Source organism: Homo sapiens, chromosome 8 (assembly GCF_000001405.40).
Source record: "Homo sapiens chromosome 8, GRCh38.p14 Primary Assembly".
Classification (NCBI taxonomy): domain Eukaryota; kingdom Metazoa; phylum Chordata; class Mammalia; order Primates; family Hominidae; genus Homo; species Homo sapiens.
The window spans coordinates 30772768-30784901 of NC_000008.11; positions in this window are offsets into that span (position 1 = coordinate 30772768).

Genomic DNA, 12134 nt, shown 5'->3' on the forward strand with positions numbered 1-12134 from the left:
GAACCTCCGGCCTTAGCCTCCTGAGTAGCTGGGACTGCAAGCACATGCCACCTTGCCCAGCTAAGTTTTTAATTTTTTTTGTGGAGACAAGGTTTCGCCATCTTGCCCAGGCTGCTATCAAACTGCCTGTCTTGACCCTCTCAAAGTGCTGGGATCACAGGTGTGAGCCACTGCACCTGGCCCACAGACTTCCATAGGCTCTATTTTTTTTTTCCTTATAGATATATTTGTCTCTCTCTCTCTCCATATATATATATATTTATTTATTTCAATGGTTTGTGGTGTTTGATTACATGAATAAGTTTGTTTTGAGACAGAGTTTTGCTCTTGTTGCCCAGGCTGGAGTGCAATGGCACGATCTCAGCTCACTGCTACCTCTGCCTCCTGGGTTCAAGTGGTTTTCCTGCCTCGGCCTCCTGAGTAGCTGGGATTACTGGCATACGCCACCATGCCTGGCTAATTTTTGTATTTTTAGTAGAGATGGGGTTTCACCATATTGGTCAGGCTGGTCTTAAACTCCTGACCTCAGGTGATCCGCTTGCCTTGGCCTCCTGAAGTGCTGGGATTACAGGTGTGAGCCACCATGCCCGGCCAAATAAGTTCTTTAGTGGTGATTTCTGAGATTTTGGTGTACGCATCACCTGAGCAGTGTACACTGTACCCAATGTGTAGTCTTTTGTGCCTCAACCCCCTCCCACCTTTTCCCTGGAGACCCCAAAGTCCATTGTATCATTCGTATGATAGGCTCTATTTTCCATTGTCCCTCCACATCCGTTTTCAAGGATTTTGAGTACAGAAAATGATTATCACCTAAAAAGTGGTCTTTTATACAGCAAAAATTTCAGTAAATAATTCGTAACATTTGTGGAATGGTTCTCCTCTGCCCCTTCTCCCCAGTTCTTAACATAAAAATCATTAGAGCCATTTCTTGGCATGGTAATGCAGATATTTTTCTTCAACAGAAAGGACAAACATCAGTTGCATGTATAACTAAAGGGCTAAAAATTGAGATGCTTAATTGTTTCCTTAGTTAGAAAAGCAGCATTCTTCCTCTGGATTTAGGGAAAGGAAGTACTGATGCTTTAAGTCTTTAGGTTCTTGGTTAATTACACTTTGTGTGTGTGTGTGTTTGCTGTAGCCCTCTTGCAATGAGATGGAAAAATTAGAAACATATGATTAAGGCCAGACATGGTGGCTCACACCTGTGATCCCAACACTTTGGGAGGCTGAGGCAGAAGGATCGCTTGAGCCCAGAAGTTTGAGACCAGTCTGGGCTACTGTATTAGTCCATTTTCATACTGCTATAAAGATACTACCCGAGGCTGGGTAATTTATAAAAAGGTTTAATTGACTCACAGTTCCGCAGGGCTGGGAGGCCTCAGGAAACTTACAATCATGGTGGAAGGGGCAGCAAACATGTTCTTCACAGGTGACAGGAGACAGAAAATTGAGGAGGGAAGGGGAAAGGGCCCCTTATAGAAACATCAGATCTTGTGAGAATTCACTATCACAAGAACAGCATGGGGAAACCGCCCCCATAATCCAATCACTTACCTTCCTCCACATATGGGGATTACAGGTCCCTCCCTCCACACACAGGGATTACAATTCAAGATGAGATTTGGGTGGGAACACAGCCAAACCATATTAGCAACCAGGTGAGACCCCATCTCTACAATTTTTTTTTTTAATTAGCCAGGCGTGATTGCCTGCACCTGTAGTCTCAGCTACTCTGGAGACTGAGGTGGGAGGATCACTGGAGCCCCACAGGTTGAGGTTGCAGTGAGCCATGATCTCACCTCTGTGCTCCAGCCTGGGTGACAGAGTGAGATCATGTCTCAATCATCATCATCATCGTCTGGGGCAGCACATGCAGATACAGATGAGTAAATATTAAAGCTAAGGGAGTACCTGGGCGTGGTAGCTCACATCTGTATTCCCAACACTTTGGGAGGCCGAGGCGGGCAGATCACCTGAGGTCAGGAGTTCGAGACCAGCCTGGCCAACATGGTGAAACCCATCTCTACTAAAAACACAAAAATTAGCTGGGCGTGGTGGTGGGCACCTGTAATCCCAGCTATTTGGGAGGCTGAGGCAGGAGAATCGGTTGAACTTGGGAGGTGGAGGTTGCAGTGAGCCGAGATCACACCATTGCACTCCAGCCTGGAAGACAAGAGTAAGACTCCATCTCAAAAGATCTAAGGGACAGGTACATGAGGATATTTTATACTTTTCTACTTCTGTATAATATTTAATGATTAAATGTTAAAAAGTATCAGCAGGCTGAAGATTAGAAAGGCTGACTTGTAAATTTGTCAAGTGCTCTATGAGAAAGCTCTGACTTTAAAAAGCTTTAGTTTTTGTTGGTTTTTTTTTTTGAGACAGTGCCTGTCACCTGGGCTGAAGCGCAGTGGCACAATCACAGCTCACTGCAGCTTCAACCTCCCCAGGCTCAAGCCATCCTCCCACGTCAGCCTCCCGAGTAGCTGGGACTTTTACCTGATAGAGTTGTTAAGGTTCTTGGCGTGTTGAACAGAGAATTGAACAAAATGCACGAAGTAACAAAAGAACGAAACAAGGGAAGACAAAACAACAGAAGAAGAGTAGGGAAAACAGACTTATTGAAGACAATTCACAGAGTGAGAGTGAGCTCGAACAAGCGGCTCAAGAGCCTCCTTAATTAGGATTTTTATCAAGCCCAAGGAACCTGGCAACACCCCACGGTGCCCTAGAGAGGCCTCCAATTGGCTACACCCCATGAAGGATTGGCCTGCAACCCAGCAGAGGCTGAAGTGCCTTGTTATGATGGGAGGGAGGATGTGGCCTATATGCTGCACCTGCCGCTCTCCTGCTTATAGGAGCTGGCTGCACCTGCTGTTCTTTTGCTTATGAGAACTGGCTGCACCTGCCGAACCCCCGTTATCCTAATTCTCTATTCGCCTGCCACAGGACCACAGGTGTGTGCCATCACGCCTGGCTATTTATTTATTTATTTATTTTCAGATAGCGTCTCACCCTGTGGCCCAGGCTGTAGTGCAATGGCACGATCTCGGCTCACTGCACCCTCCGCCTCCTGGGTTCAAGCAATTCTCCTGACTCAGCCTCCACAACCTAGTTGATTTCTCTCATGTAAAAGCTTACAGGAGCTGGGTGGTGACTCACGCCTGTAATCCCAGCACTTTGGGAGGCTGAGGTGGACAGATCACTCGAGGTCAGGAGTTCGAGACCAGGCTGGTTAACATGGCGAAACCCCATCTCTGCTAAAAAAAGAAAAAAAAAAAAACACGAACACAAACAGCCGGGCATGGTGGCTTGCGCCTATAATCCCAGCTACTTGGGAGGTGGAGATACCGGAATCGCTTGAACTTGGGAGATGGGGGTTGCAGTGAGCTGACATCGCGCCACTGCACTCCAGCCTGGGTGACAAAGTGAGACTCCATCTCAAAACAAACAAACAAAAAATAAAAATCTGATAAGGACATTGTCTCAGTTCATGGCTTTCATCTTCAAGGTCACCTGGTATTCAAAACTGGATGCTAGGATTCCAGCTATCCTGTCCACACTCCAAGAAGCAGAGAAGAGGAGGCCTCTTTAGAGAGCTTTGGGAGCTTCCACTCACATCTTGTTGCCAAGCTTAGTCCTGTGGCCAGCTGTCATCTTTGAAGGGGGCATATTGCTATTCCTTGCAAAATAGGCCTTGTACCTTGATCTTAGTTAACTGGCCTCAGTTCAGACCTTGTTTCCAACATGACAAAACCCGATGGCCCAGGAGAGGTGGAGGAGGCTGAGACCAGGAGGAGAAGGGCCTTGGGACTATGCTCCCAATGACATTACCGGCAACCCCAGTGCCCCCGCGAGGTGCGGCCCTCAGGAGTGACCCCACACTGGTGCAGGCTGCACCACCCAGGACCCTCCACTGCTGCTGATCTGCCTCCCATGCCTGGATAATTTTTATTTTATTTATTTTTCATTTTTTATCTTTAGCTTTTTTTTTCATTACAAAACCTCAAAGTACCAATGCCTGACTAATTTTTAAATATTTTTGTAGAGACAGGGTCTCACTATGTTGCCCAGGCTGGAATACAGTGGCCCGATCTCAGCTCATTGGAGCCTCGACCTCCTGGGCTCAATTGATCCTCCTGCTTCAGCCTCCTGAGTAGCTGAGGACTGACCACAGGTGCGTGCTACCATGCCCAGCTAATTATTTTTTATTTTTGTAGAGATCGGGTCTCACTATGTTGCCCAGGCTGGTCTCTAACTCCTGGACTCAGGTGATCCTACCGCCTCGGCCTCCAAAAGTGCTGAGATAACAGGCGTGAGATACCACACTTGGTCCTACATGGTCTTATTTAGAGAATTTGCCCTCATTTTATTACTCTTCATCTCTGTATTTCACTTTGTAAACGCTCTTCCTCACTATCATGGATTGATATGGGAGCTCTGCTCATTTGAGCTTAATTATACAGTAGCTATTATCAAAAGACAATATAAAGTCATTCTAGGTTGTTCTACTGTGACCGTGACACTAAGGGGTTTTGTTGTTGTGGGGATAAAAGAAAATAAAGTGACATTTTTCTGAAGGAAATATTTAAATTAAAAAGTGTGAAATTTCCCTTTAAAGGGAGGGAAAAAGCTTTAGTCAGGTAATTGCTCTGCTAGCTGAAATTGAGATTCTAAAAATAACAAGCTCTAAATCATATGGCTTATTTAGACTTCCACTTAGGACACAGAGATCTGTAAAGAATGCTGCTCTCACCCTAGCAACAAGAAACAGCTGGATCTAGCTGGGTGCATGGTGCCTGCATGCCTGTGGTCCCAGCTACTTGGGAGGCTGAGGTGGGGGGATCACTGAGCCTAGGAGTTCAAGACTAGCCTCGGCAATATACTGAGACCTTGTCTCAAGAAAAAAAAAGAAAAGGAAAAGAAACAGCTGGATGATACACAAAATCATAACATTTTTGAGCCCACAGTGAGCTGAGGCTGCAAAGCAATTATGTAAACTGAATTCCAAAAAGAGATAACCCTCTCCAAGGAGAGACGGGACACAGAAACTGTCTTCCCTTTGGCAAAACACGGGAGAAAAGGCAGCTGCTATACAAGCTAAGATTTTGATGTTCGTAAAGGTCACGCATGGGCTACTGCATCAGTTTGGAACCAGACGGGCTATTTAATTTGTGGGCCTTAGTGCAAAATGAAAATGTGGGAACCCTTACTCAAAAGTGAAGAAGTTCAAGATGGCGATAGGCGACAGCAATGCAGTAAACCAAACATGAAGCCCTTCTAAGTGTGGGGCCCTGCACAGGTACCATGCCATGAAGCCAGTCCTGGCTGGGGGCTTCAGACACAAAGGGAGTGCCCATTCTCTAGAAAGTTCTTCCTCCTCACCCTTCACTAGGTGTTCAGGAGGACTGAGACAGGGCAGGAGACCAGAGAAAGCCAACCTCAGAGCAAACAATGAGTGACTGGCGGCTGTAGGGGAACAAGCGCAAAGCTCCACTGGCTTCCCCAGACCCTCCTCTCCTACCAAGCCAAGGTCTTAACCTGCTGGGGAAAGTACAGCAAGTACTATGGCCTGCCAGGAACTGGCAGATCTATTGTCTCTGGAGAAGGAACAGAGGCAGACAAAACAAAACAAAACCAAAACAAAACCCATCTGCTTCTCCCAGGACTCAGGCAAAGATTATTGCTGCTGGCAGAAGGTCGAGGCAAAAATTCTCTACCTTGGAGGGAAGGGTGGATACAGATATCAAACAGATGTCTAGTCTTGCTAGGAATGGGGCCGAAAACTCCCACCCTACGCCAACCATGGACACAAGGAGAAGTTTGGCAGCCACAGGTAGAAGGAGCAAGAATGCTTAGAAAAACCTCACCTTGAAAACCAAAGCACAGGCTGGGTGCGGTGGCTCATGCCTGTAATCATGGCACTTTGGGAGGTTGAGGCGGGTGGATCACCTGAGGTCAGGAGTTTGTGACCAGCCTGGCCAACACGGTGAAACCCAGTCTCTACTAAAAACACAAAAATTAGCTAGGCATGGTGGCGCGCGCCTGTAATCCCAGCAACTCGGGAGGCTGAGGCAGGAGAATTGCTTGAACCCGGAGGTTTCATGCGGAGGTTGCAGTGAGCCGAGATTGCGCCACTGCATTCCAGCCTGGGTGACAGAGCAAGACTCCATCTCAAAAGAGAAAAACAAAAACATAGCACAAAGAGCCAGCCCAAGATTGAGGCTGAATTGGGACAACAGAGAACCTCACCTGCTCCTACCATGAGCCCAGCACTGAGTGATACACAGCAGCAGTCTCCAACTGGGGAAGGGGTGAGGGCATGGAGAAGGACCTCCCTCGTATGCAGGCGTGAAAGGATTGCTGAATGGGGAGCAGGAGCGCCCGAGAAAAACCCAGCACCTAAGCACAAGGTGACAGCAGTCAAGCTTAAATTAGTGGAATTGCAGGCTAATGGGCTGTGATTCCATGGGTAATGATAGAATTCTATACCTAGTAAAATGATCTTTAAAAAAAATTTTTTTTTTTTGAGTCAGAGTTGCCCAGGCTGGGGTGCAGTGGTGTGATCTCAGCTCATTGCAACCTCTGCCTCCTGGGTTCAAGTGATTCTTGTGCCTCAGCCTCCCAGTAGCTGGGTTTAGCAGGCCACCATGCCCGGCTAATTTTTATATTTTTAGTAGAGACAGGTTTTCACCATGTTGGCCCAGCTGGTCTTGAACTCCTGGCCTCAAGTGATCAGCCTGCCTCTGCCTCCCAAGATGTTTGGATTACAGGTATAAGCCATTGCGCTCGGCCTATACCTAGTAAAATGATCTTTCCCACATGAACATGAAAGAAATACTTTTAAAGACATACAAAAGCTGAAAAAATTCATCACCATCAAACTTGCACTACAAAAAATGTTAGTCTTAAGGCAGAAGAAAAACTATACCAGATGGAAATACAAAACTACACAAAGCAATGAAGAACACTAGAAATAACACAGATTTATATGAGTAAATAAACTTTTTTCTTGTTACTAAATCCCTTTAAGTGATATTTTAGTGATGATAATATAATAGCAATGTTGCATGGGGCTTATAATACATATAAAACCAAAATTTATGACAATAGCACAGTTAGGGATATATATTACAAGATTCTGATACTCTATGTGAAGTGGTGTAATGCCACTTGATGGCAGATGGAACAAAGTTAAAGATGTATACCACAAATCCTAAAGCAACCACTAAAGGAACAAAACAAAAAGGTATAGCTAATAAGCCACACAAAAGAGATACATAGAATAAAAAATATTCAATTAATCCAAAAGAATTCAGAAAAAGAGGAAATAAATGGGACAAATAGAAAACAAATAGCACGATGACAGACTTAAACCTAACAATACCAATAATCGTATTAAATATAAACAATCTAAATATCCCCAAATGAAAAGTAGAGAGTATTAGCCGGGTGCAGTGGCTCACACCTATAATCCCAGCACTTTGGGAGGTGGGCAGATCACTTGAGGTCAGGAGTTCAAGACCAGCCTGGCCAACATGGCGAAACCCCGTCTCTACAAAAAACAAAACAAAACAAAGAAATAAAAATTAGCCGGGCTTGGTAGTGCACAACTGTAATCCCAGCTACGCAGGAGGCTGAGGCATGACAGTCACTTGAGCCTGGGAGGCGGAGGTTGGTTACAGTGAGCCGAGATCGCCCCCACTGCACTCCAGCCTGTGTGACAAAGCATGTCTCAAAAACAACAACAACAAAAAGTAGAGAATATTAGATTAGAATTAAAACAACAACAAAAAATGCTGCCTACAAGAAACAGTGGTAAGGAATAAATACCTCCAAAAACCCCTACCCACGAACATGAAATACTAGTTGTCCTAATCAAAGCAATATGAAACATATACAAAAAGTCATAGAGATTAGAAAAGAAGAAAAAAGCTTTGTATTCACTGACTATGTGACTTTGTAATTTAAAAAAATCCAAAGTAATTGCTGATAAATACAGGTTGAGCATCCCTAATCCAAAAATCTGAAATACAATATGCTCCAAAATCCAAAACTTTTTGAGCAGGTACTTGATGCTCAAAGGAAATGTTCATTGGAGCATTTCAGATTTGTGGAATAGGGATGTTCAACCAGATATCTATATGCAAATATTCTAAAATCAGAAAAAATCCTAAATCTGAAACACTTCTGGTCCCATGCATTTTGAATAAGGGATACTCAACTTATATAAGAACTAAGTGCATTTAGTATAGCTACTGAAGAAAATATTTTGGGCAGGTGTGGTGGCTCACGCCTGTAATCCCAGCACTTTGGGAGGCAGAGGTGGGTGGACCACCTTAGGTCAGGAATTCGAGACCAGCCCGACCAAGATGGTGAAACCCCATCTCTACTAAAAATACAAAAATTAGCTGGGCGTGGTGGTAGGTGCTTGTAATCCCGGCTACTCCAGAGGAGAATCGCTTGAACCTGGGAAGTGGGGGTTGCAGTGAGCAGAGATTGCGCCATTGCCCTCTAGCATGGGCAACAGTAAGACTCCGTCTCAAAAAAAAGAGGTTGCATTGAGCAGAGATCGCGCCATTGCACTCCAGTCTGGGCGACAGAGTGAGACTCCATCTCAAAAAAAAAAAAAAAAAAAAAGAAGATATTTTAAAAGATCGCTTTTATTTCAATTTATCATCATTAAACAATCACAAAATAGAAAGGTATTACCCACGACAGCATTTTAAAATCAAATGTTGCCAGGTGCAGTGGCTCACGCCTGTAATCCCAGCACTTTGGGAGGCCGAGGCGGGTGGATCACGAGGTCAGGAGATCGAGACCATCCTGGCTAACACGGTGAAACCCCGTCTCTACTAAAAATACAACAACAACAAAAAAAATTAGCCGGGCGTGGTGGCGGGCACCTGTAGTCCCAGCTACTTGGGAGGCTGAGGCAGGAGAATGGCATGAACCCGGGAGGCGGAGCTTGCAGTGAGCTGAGGTCATGCCACTGCACTCCAGCCTGGGCGACACAGCAAGACTCCGTCTCAAAAAAAAAAAAAAAAAAAAATCAAATGTTACGGTTAGATGGCAAGACATTTATACCAAATATTATATTGTTGAGAGAAATTGAGGACTTGATGAAAGAGGTATTTTATACCATCTCCATGGACTAGAAGGCTCAATAATGTAAAATGACCTATTCTTCCTAAACTGATAGAGGTTCAGTATAATCCCCAAATCCCAGCAGAATTTATTGTATCCCTATGTGTGTAAATATAACAAGCCGATTCTAAATTGTGTTTTTTTTTGGAGACAGAGTTTTCCTCTGTCGCCCAGGCTGGAGTGCAATGGCGCGATCTTGGCTCACTGCAACCTCCGCCTCCCGGGTTCAAGCTATTCTCCTGTCTCAGCCTCCCAAGTAGCTGGGATTACAGGCATGTGCCACTATGCCCGGCCAATTTTTGTATTTTTAGTAGAGACAGGGTTTCACCATGTTGGCCGGGCTGGTCTCGAACTCCTGACCTCAGGTGATCCACCCGCCTCGGCCTCCAAAAGTGCTGGGATTACAGGCATGAACCACTGCACCCAGCCCTAAATTGTTTATTGTGGTACTATATATATGACATAAAATTTAATCATTTTAAAATACACAATTCAGTGCCATTAAGTATACTCATGTTGTGTGATCTTCACCACCATTCATTTCCATAACTTTCTAATCATCTGAAACTCTACAGCCATTAAAGTAACTCCTCAATCCTTTCTCCTTCCAGCCCCTGGCAATCTCTATTCTACTTTTTGTGTCTATGAATTTGCCTATATTCTAGGTACCCTCATATAAGTGAAAACATACAATTGTGTTTTTGTGTCTTGCTCATTTCACTAAGCATGTTCTGAAGGTGCTCCGTGTTGCAGCATGTGTCAGAATTTGATTCCTTTCCAATGGCTGAACAATATTCCATTGTATGGATATACCACATTTTTTTTTTTTTTTTTTTTGAGACAGAGTTTCACTTTGTTACTCAGGCTGGAGTACAGTGATCTCCGCTCACTGCAACCTCCACCTCCTGGGTTCAAGTGATTCTCCTATCTCAGCCTCCTGAGTAGCTGGGATTACAGGCGTGTGCCACCACACCTGGCTAATTTTTGTCTTTTTAGTAGAGATGGGGTTTCGCCATGTTGGCCAGGCTAGTCTCGAACTCCTGACCTCAAGTGATCCACCCACTGGTCTCCCAAAGTGCTGGAATTACAAGTGTGAGCCACCGCACCTGGCCCACACTTTGTTTATCCATTAATCTGTTGATGGAATTTGGCTTGTTTCCACCTTTTTTGGCTATGGAATACTGCTATAAACTTTGGTACCTAGTGTATTCTTTATAAGACGTAAATGCGTGATTCAATTGGTTTAATATTAGTGACAGAATTAGACTATATTTGAGTCAGTTTGATAAATTTTCTAGTAATTTACTTCTGTAACTTCTTGTTTTCAAATGTACTGGCAAATGCTATTCATAGTATCCTCAACTTTTTTGTTGTTTTTGAGACAGGGTCTCACTCTCATCTCGGCTGGAGTGCAGTGGCAAGATCATGGCTCAAGGCAGCCTTGACCTCCACAGGCTTAGGTGATTCTCCCCTCTTAACCTCCCGAGTAGCTGGGACTACAGGTATCTGCCACCACGCCTGGCTAATTTTTTGGTATTTTTTGAGGTTAGGTTTTACCATGTTGCCCCAGGCTGGCCTTGAACTTTGGGACTCAAGTCATCCTCTTACCTCAGCCTCCCGAAGCGCTGGGATTACAAACATGACCCACTGTGCCCAGCCTATCCTCAATTTTTTATCACTTTTGTTACCTTTTATTTTGCAAATTCATGCTTTTATTTGTGCCTTCTGTATGTTTGTGGTTTTTTTGTAATATTTGTTTTATTAGTCTTTTCAAGTAAGTTTGTGGTTCTGTTGATCTTTTGATTTTTGCGCTTAATCTGTTAACTTTTACATGATAAACACCTAGCTAATTACTTTTCAGCTTTTGTTCTGTTACAAGCATTTAGTTATAAATTTTCCTCTAAAGACTGCTCTGGTGGTATTGCACAAGTCTTTTTTGAGGGTCTTGCTCTGTTGCCCAGGCTGGAGTGCAGTGGCATGATCATAGATCATTGTAGCCTCAAATCCCTAGTAGCTGGGACCACAGGTGTGTGCCACCACACCCAACTAATTTTATTATTATTTTTTTTGAGACGGGGTCTTGCTATGTGGCCCATGCTGGTCTCAAACTCCTGGGGTCAAGTGATCCTCTTGCCTTGGCCTCCCAAAGTGCTGGGATTACAGGCAGAAGCCAGCGTGCCCAGCCCATCTCTTTCTTTTTAAAGACAGCTTCATTGAGGTATATTTTACAAATCATAAAATTTTCCCATTTCAAGGGTTCAATTTAAAGATTCTTGGTAAATTTACCAAATTGAGCAACCATGACAATAATTACTTTAATAACTAAAAATTGGAAATAGCCTAAATGTTTCAAATGGACACATCAACTGATGAATGCATAGAGAGAAATGTGTTATATTCACACCATGGCAAGCTGCTTAGGAATAAAAGAATGAACTGTTAAATACGACATGGAGGAACTTCAGGACACGCTAGTGAAAAACCTGCACAAAAACAATTTATGTGATTCCACTGATATGAGCTGTCCAGAAGTAGTAAATCTGTAGACAGAAGTAGATTAGTGGTTGCCTGGGGCTGGTTGGTGGCAATGAAAATCAACACAGGTCAAGAGAGAGACTGAAATCATGAAAATATTCTAAAACTGATTTATTGTCAAGGCTGCAGTGAGTTGTGATTGGGCCATTGCACTCCAGCCTGGGGCAACCCAAAGTGAGACCCTGTCCCCCCAAAAAAAAAAAAAAAAAAAAAATATATATATATATATATATATATACACACACACATATATATATACATATATATACACATATATATACATATATACGTATACATATATATGTATGTATATATTACATATGTTTTTGAAAGTTTCTTCCCAGTTATATTCTAGTTTTAGTATATAATCCATAGCTGTACTTAAAAATGTGACATTAATATAAATTACCTACTAAAATTTTTCGACTGGCTTTTTTTTATGGTCTAAAAGT